Source organism: Homo sapiens, chromosome 10 (genome assembly GCF_000001405.40).
Source record: "Homo sapiens chromosome 10, GRCh38.p14 Primary Assembly".
NCBI lineage: Eukaryota > Metazoa > Chordata > Mammalia > Primates > Hominidae > Homo > Homo sapiens.
This window is the reverse complement of record NC_000010.11, coordinates 119,340,506-119,359,630: the sequence shown is the minus strand read 5'-3', so window position 1 is coordinate 119,359,630 and position 19,125 is coordinate 119,340,506. Positions and strand designations below refer to the sequence as shown.

Below are 19,125 nucleotides of genomic sequence, written 5' to 3'. Positions count from 1 at the left end.
AAAATTACCCTCCCACAGCAGCCAGGGCCACAGCATCTGGGGCAGCTGCCACATGCAGTGGTCCCCTCTGCAGGTCTTTGCTCTGAGGAAGGCTTCGTGGGTGCTCAGCTCGATTTCTGGCCTTTGTTGCCTGGCCCTGCCCACCTGGGATCCCATTCCCTTCCACACGAATGACCTGGAAACACAACCTGCTTTGCTGCATCAACCCACAGCTGCCTTGCTGGGCCACGCAGGACCCGGAGGCTCCCCTCTTGCCATAACCATGGAGAGAAAGTGGCTCCTGGAAAACAGCTACAGCTCATCTGAGTTACTGGTGTGGATTACATGTGGGGTTCCCTGAAATAGGCCCCCGTAAGGGCATGTACTGCCCCCAAGCCCTCTCGTGTGTACACACATCTCCTCCAGGAAGCCTTCCTGGATTGCCCCAGCCCCACCCCTGGCCTCTGGCACAGTCTCTCCAAATGGCTCCTCTGATGCACAGCACCAGCAACCCCCCTGGTGTGACCTAGGGGACTCCAAACAGTGGAGGGGGCTCAGGGTGTGTTATGAACTGAACTGTGTTGTCCCCAAATTCATATGTTGAAGCCCTAACCCCCAATGTGACTATATTTGGGGGTGGGGCTTTGGGGAGGTAATTAAGGTTAAATGAATTCTTCAGGGTGGGGCCCTAACTGATAGGGCTGGTGTCCTTAGGAGGAGAGGAAGAGACACCAGAGAGCTCAGAGGAAAGGCCGGGCAAGGACATAACAGGAAGACAGTGGATCTACAAACCAGCAAGGGCAGAAGCCAGCCCTGAGGCACCTGGATCTTGAACTGTGGCCCCCAGAACTGTGAGGAAAGAAATACCTGTTGTCTAAGCCGCCCACTCTGTGGTATTTTGTCATAGCAGCCTGAGCAGACTAATACAAAGTGGATGATCCAAAGAGCAAGGCTTGAGGCTCAGTGCTGCCATTTACAAGCTTGGTGACCTCTGAGGAATCCCTGGGCCTTAGTTTCCTGGTCTCTAAAATGGGGCTGCTGACTCTGCCCTGCCTGCCTCCCTGAGAGGCCTGTGGAAGAGGAGCAGATGAGGGCACAGACAGGACCATGATTTGGGAGATGGAAATGCACCATGCACGCCTCAATTCCTGGGGGCAAGGGGACCAGGACCAGGAGAAGGCGGCCAGGCTGCCGGGTGGAGGGCCTGGGTGGAGGCATGAGATGGATACAGGTCCAATCCTGGCACCACCACTCAGCATCTGGGCAATGCCAGTCAAATCACATGGTCAGAGCAGCTACTATTTGCAGAGCATTTGCTACACCCCGGGCATAATCACTCTGTGCCCTTGGCTGAGTAATGGGAGGGACTCCTGTTCCTCATGGGTGACTGTCAGACAACATCCGAGCTAGGACCAGCCATGCATGCTGCGTGGACACCCCAAAACACTGCCACCCTTGCCCTCACCTACCTGTGGCTCAGGGACTCTCACTCGTGCTCCAGGAACTCAGGCAAGCTGGCCCCTTTCTCCCTCCCCACTGCACAATGGGGAAACCAGCCGGGGCCTTAGAAACAAGGGGCCAAGCCATTTCGGGCCATCCGTGATTCCATCCAAGGCTCACATACTTTCCATACTGAGGCCTCTCCCCTTTGGGTGTGATTGATGCAGCCACCCCGAGAGGACCAGGATCTGCTCAGCAGACGCTGCCCACCCCTGGCTTGGGAGGCTGCCGCTGCACCTTGTCCAAAACTCAGTCCCTGTGGGGTCAAGGCATCCGAGTCAGGAAGCGTGCCCCACCACCCACCCCCACCCTGCCAATGGCATGGCTAATGTTGGAGAAGACCAGAGACATAAAGGGGGCACAAAGGGAGGGAGACTTAACTACGTGGCCAAGAATGCAGGCAGCAGAACAAGAAGTGGGGAGTGAACCTGGGGACAGCCCTCTTGCATGGAAAGAAGCTCATGCAAAGCTGTCAATGGTGGGGCCAGCAGGCCTGAGTGTGAGCCGCTATTGCTATTGTTGAATGGACTTCAGTCAGAATTTCCCTGGCACCTGGATGCAGGCCTCTGGAAGGCAACCAAGCCAACAACAATCCAGACTAATGCTTCCCCCACTCCACTCCCCAGGAGCAGGCAGCAGGAGGCAACCAGGAAGGCACGCACCAGGATGGAACGATATCCACCAGGGTTACCCGCGTCTCATTATCAGCCACAGCCTTTCCAAACATCTCCCTGACCCCCGCTCCCATGAGGGGCTTTACCACAGGTGCCTCAGCTTCCACTTCCCTGGGAACAGAACTGCAGACACAACACAGGCCCTTTGGAAGGCACCTTCTCTAGTGCTGAGGGAATTTGCCTAGAGCAAGGGAAGGCCACAGCCCACCCTACCCCCCATTTGTGACTTTATCTTTGGAGCATAAACAAGCTTCATCTGCACTTACAGTTATTCCTTACCCAGCCCTGCTCTGTCATTAAAATGAGAAAAAACACCATTTCCAGATCACTTTCATTACTTTGATAGGGCAAGGCATCTGGCATCACTTCACTTCGCTTGGGCTCCAGGGTCCAGTTGGCCCCCAGCCACCTTCACACCTCACTTTGTTAAGAATTTTTTCTTCCCTAGCATGGGCCTCACACACATGCTGTTCTTTGGTGGGCAAAGACATTCCCTGCCTTCTTTGACAATGCCATAGAGGTAGCATGAGATAGCTCAGCACTGGTCAGTTGCTAAAGAGAGGGCTGGCACAGCAAATTTTAGTAAAGCAAAGCCTTTATCGTTTTATCAGTTTTGAGAAGGGTTCCTATATGAGAATACAAAGCCTCCTGTAGATTGCATTGAAAACTTGTGAGAAAAGGGATCGGTAGTGGCTTGGGCTGAGCCTGCTAGAGACTGAAGCATACAGAAGGGCTGCAGTTCTGTTTTGTTGTTGTTGTTGTTCATCTTCTCTATTCTTGGCATCTCCTTGTGGATGGTTCTGGGGCACACATGGGGTTAAAGGGCAGAAGAGGAACTGGAAGAGCCCAAAGCCTGTGTAAAGTTGGATTTAGGTAATGCTGGATATAGAAATCCAGGCACAGTAAAGGGGCTGATCTTATTGGGCATCAAGAAGATAGACAAACAAGACTCTAGCTAGCCCAAACTCAGAAATCAGACAGGATGCCAGAAATCAAGAAAGCATGAGCCACGAACATGGTAAAAACATAAAATTCTGGGACTAGAGACTGATTCTATAAAGTCTTTGAATTATTTCTTATAAGTCCAAGGTGATTGTGATTCTACTCTATGCTCCAGATTCCCTGATGGACCACTAACATTCAACTTAACTAAGGAAGAAGGTCTAAGCAAATGAACTGTCATTATATATTTTGTAAATTGCCCTCCACACCCTGAGAATTTGTTTTGTCTAAGAATATCAAATAATGAAATACTCTGCCTGACAGAATGTGCTCTTATCTATGTCCTTTAGTCTGAATACAGCATTTACTCTTGCTAGTCCCTGGTTTCATAGAGCTGGGTTGTAATACCATTGTTGTTCATTAGGTGTCGCTGTCTAATGCAATGTATGCATGACCCAGTCTTGATCCTCCAGATCAGGGTTCTTAGGCCTGCAGAATGTATTATTATCTTACTTTATCAGCTCTCTAGATTTAAAAGTTTCTATCTTGAGTTATCTTAGAGTGAAAAAATAACTATATAGCATCGGTTGTTTCTCAGGGCTCAGGAAATGCTATTTAAGTTTCACTGTTTCTGTTGTCCTTTTCTTCCCTCTACTGCAGTGACTCTGAAACTTTATGGACTCAGGACACCTTGATACCTCTACAAATTATTATAGATCCCAAAGGAGTTTTGTTGTTGTTGTTGTTGTTGTTGTGATAGAGTCTTGCTCTGTCACCCAAGCTGTTGGAGTGCAGTGGCTCAATCTCAGCTCATTGCAACCTCTGCCTCCCAGATTCAAGCAATTCTCCTGCCTCAGCCTCCTGAGTAGCTGAGATTACAGGTGCATGCCACCACACTTGGCTAATTTTTGTATTTTTAATAGAGACAGGGGTTTCGCCATGTTGGTCAGGCTGGTCTCAAACTCCTGACCTCATGATCCACCCACCTTGGCCTCCCAAAGTGCTGGGATAACAGGCGTGAGCCACCACACCTAGCCAGGAGCTTTTATTTATGTGGGTTATACCTTTTAATATTTTCCACATTGGAAAACAGAACTACCACATGACCCAGCAAGCCCTCTTTGGATATATACCCAAAGGAAATAAAATAAGCACCTCGTAGAGATACCTGTACTCATATGTTCATTGCAGCATTATTTATACTAGCAGTATTATTTATACTAGCCAATATATAGAAACAATCTAAGTGTTCATCAACAGATGAAAAAATAATGAAATTGTGATATACTGTTGGCATTCCTTATCCATGGATTCTGCATCTGTGGATTCAACTAACTATGGATCAAAAATATTTGACAGGAAATGGATTGTTGTGTCTGCACTGAACATGTACAGACTTTGTATTTTTTTGTCATTATTCCCTAAACAATACAGTATAACAACTATTTATATAGCATTTACATTGAACTAGGTATTAGAAGTAATCTAGAGATGATTTAAAGTATACAGGAGAATTACATTGGTTATATGCAAATATACTATTTTATATCAGGGACTCGAGCATTCATGGATTTTGGCATTCTCGGGGAGTCCTAGAGCCAGTCCCCGATGGATACCAAAATCCATGCATTCTCAACTCCCATAGTTGGCCCTACAGAACCTGAGTATATGAAAAGTCAGCCTTTCCAATACTCAGGGTTTTGTATCCCTTGAATACTGTATTTTCAATCCATGTTTGGTTGAAAAAAATCCTCATAAAGGTGGACCTACACAGTTCAAACCTGTGCTCTTCAAGGATCAACTGTACAATGGAATATTATTCAGCCTTAAAAATGGAGGAGATGGGCTGGGTGCAGCTGCAATCCCAGCACTTTGGAAGGCCAAGGTGGGAGGATCACTTGAGCCTAGGAGTTTGAGACCAATCTGGGCAACATGGCAAAACCCCGTCTCTACAAAAAATACAAAAATTAGCCAGGCATGGCGGTGTACACCTGTAGCCCCAGATACTCAGGAGGCTGAGGTGGGAGGGTCAATTGAGCCTGGAAGGTCGAGGCTGCAGTGAGGCATGATTGCGCCACTGCACTCCAGCCTGAGTGACAGAGCAAGACCTTGTCTCAAAAAAAAAAAAAAAAAAAAAAAAGGAGATGTAGGGCACAAAGTTGCAGTTATGTAGGATAAGTCTAGAGATCTAATGTACACTATGAGAATATGAGAACTATAGTTAATAATATCGTACTGTACACTGGAAATCTGCTAAGAGAGTAGATTTTAGGTACTCTTAACCTTTCTGCCCCACTCCACGGACAAAGGTAACTATGAGAGGTGATGCATGTATTAATTTGCTTGACTGTAGCAATCATTTCACTAAGTACATATATAGCAAAACATCATGTTATCTACCTTATAGACATTTTTTTAAATAAAGAAACCCTTGAGATCACATGTATTTCAGAATTCAGAACTTATCAGATTTTAGAAATATAATCTATATATGTCATATATATCAAACATCCCCAAAATCAACATAGTAATATTTCTACAGAAAAATGAATGAAGTCACACTAATAAAGTATAAGTCACCTCAAAAAAAAAAAAAAAAAAAAGAAAGAAAAAATGGATTGCCCTTGGTGGGGTGGCTGCCATTTTGTTTCCCTCATATACTGGGTACTTCCAGGACAAAAGTGATGTGGGGAAAAAAGACATTTCCAAACAGCACCTGCAGCATCAATCTAAAAATAAAACCAGTAGCAGTGATGTCATTGCTAAAAATAATGCTTAGATGTACAATGACATTGTCAGGTAGCTGGTCTGGGACCTCTGGGGCCCCAGCACCTTTGGACACCTCTGCTGAGCTGACTGCTTTCTGAGTGCGTCAAATTCTCCCCACCTCACTCCACCCAGCCTTTGCTGCCAGAGGCCGCAGCTGAACCTACTGAATCCAAAGAAAAGGGCTGGCTGTTCATAGGGAAAGCCTGGATTTAGAGCTTTCACCAAAGAATATGGACTTTCTATTTCAAGAACAGAATGTCTAACAGTGTTGCCAAGGAGAGGCTCTCCAGGACCTGTTTCAATGGTAAGTATTGAGCCTACTGTAATTAGTATATTAATAGCAGTTTGATTTCTAACACCCTATGAAACATCTCTCTAAACTTCCTTCCAAGACTATTTACTTGGAGGTAATTACAGAACAAAGGCAGATGCCTGGCTGAGGACATCAGAAGCCATCTCTCCCCATCTCTGCCTCCAACCAGGTGGAGTAAGTCTCCTGAGCAAGCAAATGGAGAAACAGGGGCTGTATCCCACCCCTGGCTCCCATTTCAGCCCGAACATTCTTTCCATGGTCTAGCATCCCAATTCCCAAAAAGTGAAAAGGGCATTTCATACCCACATGAACCCAAATCCCAGCAGAGAGGGCTTCTTCACATGAACAAGATTTGATCTCTGAACCAGTCCCCGGAACAACATTGGCAACCCAGAAGGCTCCACTGATTTTAAAGAACTCTCCAAACTTTTGATATTTCTGGCAACTGGCCAGCATACCCTCCTGAGATAAGAAGTGAAAAGCAAACCCAGGTCCTCAGGGGAGAGAGAGGGAGGACGGAGCCCGGGTGGCCCACAGTGCCCAGGTCCTACTCTTGCCCGTAAGCTGCACAGAACTTGGGCCTGGTCACCACCATACGGGGCTCTGCTGAGCTTAAATGACACCAATCCAGGATTCGGGTGGAAAGTGGGCTCTTGCTCTAATTGCACCAGAGGATGGCAGGTGGTGGAATGAGACTGGTTTGTACCAAGAGTGACTCTTGTCTTTTCAGAAGGGTTGATGAGATGGTGGGCAGGGGCTGCCTTGGGCAGGTGACATAATCGCTGCAACTTTCCCCTCCAATTAAACACCAAATAAATGTGTTGAAGAAACCAAAACAGACCCAGGAGCTTATTGGGGCCACTCCAGAGGCAAGTCTGGTTAGAGGAGGCTTTTTCTTACCCACTCAACTGCAGTCTCCTTTACAGCTTCAACGAGAAGCAGTTCGATCTGCTGTAAGCACCTTGAGGGCAGGATGTTTGTCCTCCATTCACATATGCTGAGCACACAGTGGGCAGCCTCCCTAATAACCAGGGCCAGCCAATGAGATGCAAGAATAACTTGTTAGCTTTCCCTTCCAGAAAAGCTCCTTCAAGGGGCTCACACATTGGGAGATATGTACTTTTACCCTTTCCCTCTTATCTTTTTCTACTTCTTTGGAACAAGAATATTGTGGCTGGAGCTCTATCTGCCATCTTGGATCATGAGACACCTAGTGGAATCGAGAGATAAAAGCAGCCTAGGACCCTGATGACACAGAAGAGCCAACGCATGGCCTAACTCAAGATTTTATTTATATGAGGAAAAAGTGTTTAAGTCACTATAATTCAAACCATCCAGCCAATAATTATGGGTATCTGACCCATGGGACATTCTACCTTACCACCCAAACTTCCCTTGCTAAAGCCTACCACTCAGTTGAGGCCACCTCCCCTAGGAAGCTTTCCTGGATTACACTCTGCAGAGGGAAGGATCACTTTTTAATTTGATCAATTGCCATATAGCATAGTGGCTAAGAGTTCAGGATCAGGAGTTGACAGACCTGGATCCAAATTCAAGTTCCCTCACTTACTAGTCATGTGACCTTGGATGAATCATTTCACTTCTTTGAACTTTATGAGCTTTTATCAGCTGTCAGTTGGGACTACCATCTGACACTACCATTATCCAGGGTTCCCAAGGACTGGATGAGAACAGAGGTAAAGCCCCTGGCAACCAATCAACACAAAATACACCTGAACTTATTTTTTCCAGATACCAGTCATTCATGAGCTGCTGTCATGGTTTTTACCTACCACCTATAATAGTGTCTTAGTCCATCCTCACTCTGCTTGATAAAGACATACCCGAGACTGGGTAATTTATAAGGAAAAAGAGGTTTAATGGACTCACAGTTCCACATGGCCAGGGAAGCCTCACAATCATGGCAGAAGAGGAAAGGCACATCTTACATGGCGGCCGGCAAGAGAGAATGAGAGCCAAGTGAAAGGGGTTTTCCCTTATAAAACCATCAGATCTGGTGAGGCTTATTCACTACCACAAGAACAGTAATGGAGAAACCACCCCCATGATTCAACTATCTCCCATCAGGTCCCTCCCACAACATGTGGGAATTATGGGAGCTACGATTCAAGACGAGACTTGGGTGGGGACACAGAGCCAAACCATATCAAAGAGTTACCACCATTACAGTATTTACTCAATATCTTTCTTTAACTTAGGTTGTAATTAACTGCCCCTCCTGTCTTTTTCCAACTTAGTCTTTCTAAGTAATAACATAGTGGAATTACTGTTGCAGTGGCTGGATTTTTTTAATGACATACATTAAAATAAATGCATAACACATTCCATCCACTTCCTAACATGATTCTGACATATTTAGGAACAAAATGCAGATGTCTCTTCCATTCCCTACTGACTAGGCTCCCTGAGGGTGGGGCCTGGGTTGCACTTATCTCTGTGATTAGCCCAGTATCTGCAACACAGACGGAGCCCATTGAATATCTGCCTAATGGGTGGGCAAACATTCTCCCACAGCCCCATCAGAGACCTGGACAGCAGGCCCAGCCAAATTCCATTCCAGCACATTCTGAGGGCTGTCCAAATTCTTCTGCTGTGCTGCGTGCATGTTCTATCAAACATTACACACTGGAAGTAGACTGTCAACAGAGGAGTCTGCAATTGTTTCCACAAACGTGTCCATGAAACTCAAACAGCTTTTGCTGTAATGGGATTTGATCCACTCCATGGCAGCCTGGCAAGATCTGAACTGACCAGTGAAACGTGGCAGGGACTTCACAAAAAAGGGGTTCTTCTCTGCGCTGGACAAATAAAACCTTCTGAAAGAGGGTTGCACCACTTCGACAGCTGAAAAGATTCTTGTGAAATGTTTCCATCGGGAAACGCAAAGCAAGAGGTGGTGACATTCTGAAAACACCAGATTCCAAATAAAATGTGAGCTGTGACAAAGATGCTGCAGGATCCAGCCTCGGTGTCAGAGACACTTTTGAGCAATGGAAAAGTTTTGATGGAAAATTGTGCACTTGGTCTGCTAAGAAGTAAGCAAGCAAAATGTTTCTTGGCAATACATTAAATGTTTTATTTGGCAAGTTCATGCCAACTCAGACTTGAAGGTAACTTACTTCTCCCACCACCTCTCCCTCCCATGGCTAAATGCCGCACTGAAAAAATAAGACAGGTGTAGGCGGTAGCTGCTTGGGACCAGAGACTCCAGGACCCACATGTGAAAGGGGCTGGAGCTGGAGGGTCCCATCAGAGATGGCAGCCGGCACTGGCAACAGGCCCATCTGGCAGTCATGGGCTGGGCCTCCAGCCCCGTCCCAGCCTGCATCCTTACCCCATCCTGTGGCACATTCTGGCCATGAGCTGGTCACACCTGTGGTTAAGCTGTCGTGGCTCAGGCTTTGCCTATAAGTGGGTGACCGAGGCAATTTCTCAGAGCCTGGTCCGTAAAACAAGAATGAAAACTTGGGCTCAGGGAGTGTGAAAAGCGCTTTGCAAGCTGCACAGCAGCCCACACCTTCCACAGGGAGTGAAGACAGGCACACTCGCAGCAATAGCCATGGCAGGTGCCCACGTATGAGCAACCACCAAAGGCAGGTGGTGGTTCTGAGGATGATAGGAGGCCTTCCTCCTCTTCCTTCCTCAAGCGTAGGAAGTGGTGGCCACTGAATCAGTCCTGGATGGGAGATCCGGCTTTCACCATTCAGACTTAGCTGGGAAAAAAGCTGGCTGCAGGCTAATGACCCCAGAAAGGGCTGTCACCAGGCCTACAGAGAGGCAGACCCAATGCCCACCCCTCAAGACCATCTCGAGGCCTGGTGAGCCATGTTCCCCACCCGAAGGCCCCAGGCCCTGAGTGCACAGGCCCTCCCCTCCCACACAGGTCTTGGCTGGTGCCCATGGAGACCCCCTGGGGAGGCGTTATTTATTTGTCCCACAGTACAGGCGGGTAACTGCCTCCAAAGGCGTGAGGGCTTGCCCAAGGACATCTAATGAGTAAGTGGAGGGGCAAGGAACTGAACCCATGCCTGCTTCCAAGGTACTGCTTTCCTTCCAGAACCACTGGGCAGAGTCAGACACAGAGCTGGACACAGCATCACTACGGCCACCTCTCAAAGCCATGCCTCTGCCTTCAGCGGCTGTCCTCCCTCTCTGCTTTTTTGTGACAATGAAGCTGAGGAAACCCAGGCTTGACCGACTGCAAATCCTGCCTCTCAGCCCCTCCCTGCCTCCCTCCCATGCTGACCACGGCACCTTCCTTCCTCCTGCCTCTTCTCCAGCAGGTCACTGGCCACGAGTTCTTCCCTGAAACAACAAATCCACAGTGTTTAACCTCTCCCCACTGGGAGCTCATTCTTTGAAATTCTGTGTTATGATGGCCACGGTGGGTGGGAGGAGGGCGGAGGGTGACGGAAGATTGCCTAACTCTCATTTCTTGCCAACATCTTAAAAAGATGTCTCCTGCTGCTGGCCAGGACTTCAAGAGCGGCCCTCCTGTGGTGGTCGAGGATATGAGCAGAGCGGCCCTGTCGTCTGGCCACCCCCAGCACTCCTATTTATACCTCTTAATGGAGCGAACTCCTTTTTTGGACAAGGATGGAGAAGAGCAAAGCAACAGCGCTGGCCTCCTGGTGCTCAAACTTGGGACACCTGGTCCCCCCAAAGCACTCACTGGTGGCCCGCCTCAGCATGCTCTTGGCTGGTTCCTCCAGAATGGGGAGCTGCCAGCTGTGCCCGCCCAGCAAGCCCTGGCCTCTTCCAGGCTGGTTGTAGCACAGCCCATTCCCTGAGCCACATAGCATCGTCCTGCCTGAGTAGACCCACCTTCTAGAGCCCTGGAAGAAGGACATGCCCATTGCTGCCCAGCACACTGGACCACCAGAACCCATTCTGTTCTCATTCCTCAAGGTCTACAGGGCAGGTGCCCATATGTCCATTCTCCAGAGAGGAGGAACAAGGCTCAGACCTGCCTGCTTCCTAGGCCGAGCAGGGAGCTTCTTCTCCCCTTCGTTTCTAACGCACTGACTTATTCATTGCCTGCTTACTTCCCAAAACGATCCACAGCATCTTCCAATAAAGGCACATGTTCAATTGTTCCATAAAAGACAAAGAACAGGAAACAAACAGCAAAAGAGGGAGGGGAAAATCAAATGAGCTCCCCCGATGACATCAGATGAAAGAGAGCTTTGCTTTTGACATCAAACTGAGCTATGGGCTTCCCAGCAGTTTGAAGAAAGAGGGATGCATGTGGGTGGCCAGCAGTAGAAAGAAACTCAAAGCCAGGCCCCTGGACTCCTCATTAAGCCAACACACATAGCAAGCACCTACGGTGTGCAGCCACTGTGCTACACACTGGGGCACTGGCGACTGAGACACGGCCCTGTCCTTGAGGGAGACAGAAGGGCTAGAACAACAATGGCGGATGAGAGAAGCCCACTTATGGGAGGTCACTCTGCCCCTCCTTTGTGGAGAAGGAAAGGTTGGGGGGTGGTCACTGGAGGAGAAAGGGACAAGTGGTGGCAGCCTCGGCATTCACCCCACTGCAACCATGGCAGGTGAGGCTCCCTTCTCTGCCTACCAAGCTGTCCCTGCCCCCCAGGGAAGACTCAGGTCCCAGGAGAGCTCTTCCTTAATTCAGAGATGACTATCTGAAGCAAGGCAGACACGCCTACTGGTCCAGCAAGGGCCATGCTTCTCATGCACGATGTGCGGGGGCCGGGAACCAGGCCTGGCTTAAGGCCCAGGGCTGGTAAGTGGGGACTGTGGTAGAATTCAGGCCATCTGGTTCCAGCCTGGGACACTCTCCACAACACCCCATTGCCGTCCCGGCCTTGTCTCCAGGTCAGAGTCATTTCCCTTGATATCTGTTGAGGTGGAAGGGACCTAAGACAGCCAACACCTTGCCTTCAGGATACTTACAGTCTGGTGATGGGCGTGCACACACACACGTGCACGTGCATGCACACACAAACACGCACATACTTGCAAACATGCACGGACACATACAAACTTGCATGTATACACACGCACACACATGCACACTCGCAAACACACATGGGCACAAACTTGCATGTACACACACGCACACACATGCACACTCACAAATATACGGACACATACAAACTTGCATGTATACACACACATGCACACTTGCAAACATACACGGACACATACAAACTTGCATGTGCACACACACACACTGCACACACACACATACATGAAATACTGTGGTGTTTCATGAAGGCCTGGCTGAGGACAATCTGTGTCCCATCAATAAGAGAGAATCCCTGCAGACTCTTGTGGAAGGCCGAGAGGCAACAGAGTGCATGAGCCCAGGCCCTCTCAGATAAACCAGGTGCCGGCCACACCTCAGCCCTCAGGACTGAGCAGTCTAAGGAAATGGTTCCCAGAAATCGTAACCATATCTTGATGCCTGGGTGGAGAAAATGAACTCAAAACACAGCAAATCAGTCTAATCTCCGTAAGACTTACTTCCGTCAGTTCCTAGGAGAAAGATTCTATGCAATACCCTCCACACGGGCCCGAGAGGAGGCCTGTCCAGCTCTGCCCTCAGAGGGGACCACTGTTGGAGGAAACTAACAAGAAAGGCCAGCTCAATCTGCTCAGCTTTCTGATCAACTGGTTCCTCCCGTTGCCTCTGCCGGAGCCTGGGGGACCCGGTGAGCAGGGAGGACTCCAGTCCCTGTATGGTCTTCCTGGGAGGCCCAGGAGCCAGCCAGCCAGCCCTCTCTGATGGCATTCTGATGGCCAGCCAGGTGGCACGTGCAGCTGGCAGAAGGCACCCAGCTTGCAGCTCCAGCCCACATGTCCCAGAGAGACCTCAGGCCACTCCCAGAGCAGCCGGCACTGACGGGCTCCAGGAACAGGCCTGAGGCATCACTGCAGCATCCCCCAAGCAGGAAGCCAGCTTCGGCATGAGTGGATTTAATCTCTATAAACCTGGCCCCATGGGGCTTTTTCTTTCCTGACCCAGTAAATGATAAATCTGACCTAGGAGATCATGGTCAGTAAATAACTGAAGCAAATGCCGAAACCCTGTAGACTGTGGAGGTGTGAAGACAGGGCTGCCAGGCTAGGGGGTGAGCTATACCTGCTCCAGGGAGGAGCTACCCCTAGGGCTGCACGGGCATGCTCCGGGGGACCTCTCCTCGGCCCCGCTGCGGCGATGCTGCCTCATCATTCATTCCTCCTTCCCCTTCCTCACTGATTCCCTTGCTTGCTCACTGGTTTTGTACACACTTCTGGGCTCCCGCAGAGCCCAGGCATTGTAACAGGGGTTAGGCTTACAAAGGTGGAGGAGGCACACGCACCTTCTAGGAAAACAGACACCTGAAGCCTAGTCCTGCTCCCCATGGCAAGGGTTCCTTGGGAATGTTTGGTGGGGACACATGTGGAATGCTCTAGGGCCTTGGGGGAGGGGGTGGGTGGTTATTTGGGACAGGGATCCACTGACATTGGAGGTAAAGCTTGGCCAGGTGGAGAGGACAGAGGATGCAGCTGTACCAAAGACCTAGAAGCAAGAAGAAAATCTGTTTTTTTCTGTTTATGCAGTTCAGAGAGGTTTAAAAAAAAAAAAAAAGTCAAACAGCTCCTAAATAGAAGAGCAGAGATTTGACACCATAACTTGGAAAACACGCTATTACCCACCATGCTGCTGCTGGGTTTCCCCAAGGGCCTGAAGTCTGCTGGCAGGGTGGGGTGGAGGGGAAGTATATGGTGAAGGAACCATAGGCAGTGGACAGACCCTTGATATCTGCTAGGAGTGTCAAGTTTCACGACTTCAGAGAAGTCAAGAATCTTCTGAGTGTTAAGAACAGCAAGCAAGAAAGTCATAATAAATGGGAAGGAAGAAAAAAGATACCAGCTAGAAACAGAGGACCAAAGAAGAGGCTACTGCACCAGTCCATGCAGGAAGACAAGTACCAAGGATGGAGAAGAGGGGACAGATCCAACCCATGGGCGAATTCTGAAGTTTCTACCCGGTGAGGCTAGGAAGCCCCTGTGGGAAACAGGGATCCAGGTAACAGATGAGTGGGAAGTTAACACTGCAGCTGGATTGCGGGGCTGGGAACCACTCCTCTCATGCTAAAGCCAAATGAGCACAAAACCTGCTGACCTGCCAAACCCCAAGAAAGTGAGTCTGTGGCCGGGCGCGGTGGCTCACGCCTGTAATCCCAGCACTTTGGGAGGCCGAGGCGGGCGGATCATGAGGTCAGGAGATCGAGACCATCCTGGCTAACACGGTGAAATCCCGTCTCTACTAAAAATACAAAAAAGTAGCCAGGCGTGGTTGTGGGCGCCTGTAGTCTCAGCTACTCGGGAGGCTGAGGCAGGAGAATTGCTTGAACCCAGGAGGTGGAGGTTGCAGTGAGCCGAGATGGCGCCACTGCACTCCAGCCTGGGAGACAGAGCGAGATTCCATCTCAGAAAAAAAGAAAAAGAAAGGAAGGAGCGAGGGAGGGAGGGAGGGAGGAAAAGGAAGGAAGGAAGGAAGGAAGGAAGGAAGGAAGGAAGGAAGGAAGGAAGGAAGGAAGGAAGGGTGGGTCTTGTGGCTGGCTGGCCAAGGGAGGAGGGCAGGGGACTGCCAGGGGTGGGAAGCTCCCTCTGCACCCCACACGCACATTCTGACCCCCATCAGCTCAGGTTATGAGAACTTCTCACCAACATAAGCCGCACCTGGAATATGCCTGAGCTGATCTCTCGGGCTAGACGGCCCCACGCACAGCACAGGCAAAGAGACAGCCAGTGTGACATTCATGCCCATCTGCCACCTTCCAAAAGGCCCTGCAGGGGGAGGGGAAAGAGAGGACAGACAGCAGGGGAGCGAGAAACCATCCCCAAAAAGAGCAGGGAAGGGACAGGTGGGCAGCGGGAACAGCTGCCGGCTTGGAGAGCTCTGACAGGTGGTGCTGAAAGACATCCTGCGACCGGGCGTCACAAAGAAAAACCTACTCTGAACTATCGCAAGGACAGAAAACCAAACACCGCATGTTCTCACTCATAGGTGGGAATTGAACAATGAGATCACTTGGACACAGGATGGGGAACATCACACACCAGGACCTGTCGTGGGGTGGGGGAAGCGGGGAGGGATAGCATTAGGAGATATACCTAATGTAAATGACGAGTTAATGGGTGCAGCACACCAACATGGCACATGTATACGTATGTAACAAACCCACACGTTGTGCACATGTACCCTAGAACTTAAAGTATAATCAAAAATAAATATAAAATAAAAATACTGAAAAAAAATAAAATAAAATAACTGCTGCATAGGCCAAAAAAATAAAAAATAAAAAAGGATCTGTTACCCCCCGCCAAAAAAAAAAGAAAAAGAAAAAAGAAAAACCTGCTCTGGCCTGACACTGCAGGAGAGAGAAGCTCCAGCCGCTCCTGCCTCCTGTGGCATTACCTGAGCCTTAGCGCTACCGTCATCAGAAGTGGAGGCTGTTTATGGTACATCCCAAGTCCTGGGCTGGATACTTGAGAAACGCCGTACACAGTGGGTTAATAAGAATTTGGAGAAGGAGGAACTGCATCTCATATAGCCTGGAAGCCCGCCTGCTCTGTCCATGGCTTCCCTTTGCTCTCTGCTCTCTCCCTGAGGATGACTGCAGACAGCGGCTATCAGAGATGAACATTCAATGGATCCCTACTATCTGCGGGGCAAGGACCTCACCTTTCAGACAGGAGGCATGGCTGGTGTCCCGGGCCCAACCCAGCCTCCCCTGACCTTCTGCCTCATGACCTCTGCATAGAGCCCACCAAAGCAGAATACACCTCCTCTCCCAAACATGCCCATATTGTTCCACGTCCACGGGGAAGCCATGGCCAATATGGAGGAAATCCACAGCCAGCATGGCCTCGACTCAGGCCCAGGTGTGAATCCAGGCTCCACTTCCTTCAGAGATCTGTGCCTGTGAGCAACTTACCAACCTCTCTGAGTCTCTGCATCGTCATCCCTAAAATAGGGGTGGGGAAGGCAGCACCTGCCCCACAGGGCTTTGTAGTGATTGGACGAGTGTGTGTCTGCAAAGCACATAGCCTGGTGCCTGGCCCACAGTAAGCATCCAGGAAATGTTTGCTGGTTGGATAACGCTGAACCTGCTGACCCAAAAGTGTTCTCTCTCTCTCTCTCTCTCTCATCTGTTCACTTGGCACCTTCCCTGCCACACAGATGTCTCTGTCCCCCTTCCCCACCCCGCCCTTGGGCTCTTAGTACTGAAGATGGACCTTGGCAGCCACCCGCCTTGCACACTTGCACAGGGCTGTCACCCAGTGTCACGTGTTGGCTTTCTGCTGTCTTCCCAACTAGAGACAGCTTCCTAAGGATCTCAGCTGATCCCACATCCCTCCCCCAGCCCCACACTGGGACCCTCCACAGGATCTTGCCCAGGGTGAAAGCTGAATAGGGGCTCATGGCTGGGATTGGCTATCACCCCACATGTCTGCCATGGCTGAGGACCCTCCTGCCTGGAGGCAGAAGGATGAATGAGATGAGGGCGTTGGGGGGTGCCTTTCAGGACCTCTAAGTCTGCCGAGAGTCAGTAAATAAAGATCTGAGGGGCAGGAATGGGGCTCAGGGCAAAGGGGTTACATAAAGGCCATAAATGTAGCCCAGCCTGCGCTGCCAAGAGCCACTTCTGAAAGCCGCTCCCCACCACCTGGCAGCACCCTGGCTCCCTGGCCTGGAAGAAGGAAGAGGGGCTTAACAGATAAATGAATGAATGAACGAACAGATAAACTTAAGCTGGCGGGACCTGGCAACCACCAAGCAGGCAGAACCAAGAAGCAAAGCTCTGCACCGCACGGGACGGTTGATGACAACCACGATGATGAACGGCTGTGAGGATGAAGAGGAAGACGGGAAAGCAGATGCTGCATGAGCACTTGCTGCAGGCCAGACCCTACGCAGCCCTCCCCATGCAGATCTTCACTCAATCCTTGCAACACTCCAGTTCCCATTTTGCAGATAAGGAAACTGAGGTTCAGGGAAATCTAATCACTTGCTCAAAGTCACAACCAGTAAGGAATAGAGCCTGGATGAAAACCAGGTCCCTCTGACACTGGAGCTCATGTTCCTCACTGCTGTCTCCGTCCCAATCCAGCAGCACCGGTTTGGTTTAGCAGCTCAATGGCTTTGTCCCAACTGACCCGCCACATGCCTCAGGATGTTCCAGCTGTTCAGCACTCCAAGGCTGTGGACACCCAAGCCTGATGACGGAGTCTTCTGGCAAAGCCATTCTCAGTGGCTTGCTCTGCCCCAAGCTGGGCTCAGCCAAGGCCTTTAGCAGAGCCGTGCCTGTGCCCATCTCGCCTGACCAGTCGAACTCCGGCAGCCAGACAGGGCTGACATGACAGCTGTGCCGGTGGGATGTACTCCCCATAACTCTCCCACGCCTCCCATTGAGGTCGGATAGGGGCCTGCAAGGGGAGAGAAAAGTGGGGTCACTGCCCTTGGCGGGAGGTGCAACTAGGAATCTCTCTCTAAACCGTTTCTGATAAAAGCGGCTACTTCGGAACTGACATGCGACAGCTGTTCTCAGTCCACATTTCCAGGACTCTTAAAAGAACTCAGAGAGAAAAATAAGACCCATCAGCAATCAGTCTAACACTTGGGAAGATTGAGTGTTTTTCCATCTCCAGGGGAGAACAAAATATCTAAACAAGATTCTACAAGTGCCTGGTACAGGGTAGACACTCATGCTGGGTGCTGGCAAAACACAGTCAGGCAGACCCAGGCTCTACTCTCACAGAGCCCACAGCCAAACAGAAGACAAAGGTGAGTCATCAGACAACCACAGTGGGGCCAGTGGCAGCATGAGGGTGGGGAGCAAACCCTGACTAGGTGAGGTCACCAGGGAGGGCTTCCTGGAGGAGGTGACCTATGAAGCAGGGGACTAAGGTTGAGTTGATTACCAAGCAGGGTTAGGGAAGTGTATCCAGCAGAGGGAACAGCCCAGGCAAAGGCCTGGAGAAAAGAAGAAACATGAAGGAATGGCTAAGTCAGGAGATGAGCGGCAGGGGTGAAGCTGAAGCAGTCAGCAAGGGCGGAGAGGCCGGGCCTGGTCAGCTTCAGCAAGACCTCTGGACTCTGTCCTGACAGCAGTGGAAAGCTACTGAAGCAGGTGGTGGCGAGAGCAGACTGACATTTCAGAAAGAGCCTCCTGGCTGCTGCATGGAGCTTGGTTGGAAGTAGGTGCGCCTGGAGGGAGCAAGGAGCTGACACAGGAGTTCAGGCAGGGACAAGGATCAAGTGGAAATGGTGGAGATGGGGCGAGAGGGGCAGACTAGGAGATACTGTGGAGGCCGAGGCATCGGGACCTGGAGAGGGACTGGACACTGCACTGGGCCAGGTGCCACACGGCAGGGCAGAGGGGAGGGGCAGCTCTGGGCAGCTAGAGGAAGCTGGTGATGTTCACCAGGATCAGAGACAGAACAGCTTTACGAGAAAGGGTCACAGTTCCCCCAAGAAGACAGGAAAACTACTCTGGCCATTTGTCCAACCAAAGGCTCACACACCCACATCAAAACTGGCCAGCAATTTGCACAGCACTTTGCAAAGCACTCTCTGCCAGAAACACCTTTGGCCACTCCATCTGCTAAGGTGAGGAATACTGAGTCCCCATTTTAAAGACGAGCAAATCAAGGTTAAGTGGCTTTCCCAAGGCCACAGGACCAAGTGGTAACACAAGAAACTGGGTCTTCTGCCTCCCAGTCCAAGGGGGATTCTACAACCCACAGGTTTCCATTTTAAATGATATCTGATGTCTGGGCAAGGAAGATGATAGTCGAGGCTGGTACAATTCTCTCCCTAGAAGCAGAACAAACTACAAAAGGGCAACAGACCAAAGTGTTAACAGTGTTTATCCTTATCTCATTGGCAGTTTTTATTTTCCCCTT

The 19,125-nt window shown here is 50.1% G+C and overlaps 1 protein-coding gene across 1 annotated transcript in view, besides 3 other annotated features; it reads right to left on the bottom strand.

The window, feature by feature from the left end:
* The window catches only part of GRK5 (G protein-coupled receptor kinase 5), a 252,175-nt gene that overhangs the window by 100,115 nt on the left and 132,935 nt on the right, over positions 1-19,125 (bottom strand). The gene's annotated exons all lie outside the window — the stretch shown is intronic.
* Positions 9,723-10,224: an enhancer, noted in NCBI's record as "H3K4me1 hESC enhancer chr10:121108919-121109420 (GRCh37/hg19 assembly coordinates)". NCBI's record gives its function as "activates a minimal SCP1, AML or CMV promoter by ChIP-STARR-seq in naive H9 embryonic stem cells {active_cell/tissue: H9 hESC(naive)}" and the evidence as "EXISTENCE:reporter gene assay evidence [ECO:0000049][PMID:30033119]".
* Positions 17,745-18,337: an enhancer, noted in NCBI's record as "H3K4me1 hESC enhancer chr10:121100806-121101398 (GRCh37/hg19 assembly coordinates)". NCBI's record gives its function as "activates a minimal SCP1, AML or CMV promoter by ChIP-STARR-seq in primed H9 embryonic stem cells {active_cell/tissue: H9 hESC(primed)}" and the evidence as "EXISTENCE:reporter gene assay evidence [ECO:0000049][PMID:30033119]".
* Positions 18,338-18,931: an enhancer, noted in NCBI's record as "H3K4me1 hESC enhancer chr10:121100212-121100805 (GRCh37/hg19 assembly coordinates)". NCBI's record gives its function as "activates a minimal SCP1, AML or CMV promoter by ChIP-STARR-seq in primed H9 embryonic stem cells {active_cell/tissue: H9 hESC(primed)}" and the evidence as "EXISTENCE:reporter gene assay evidence [ECO:0000049][PMID:30033119]".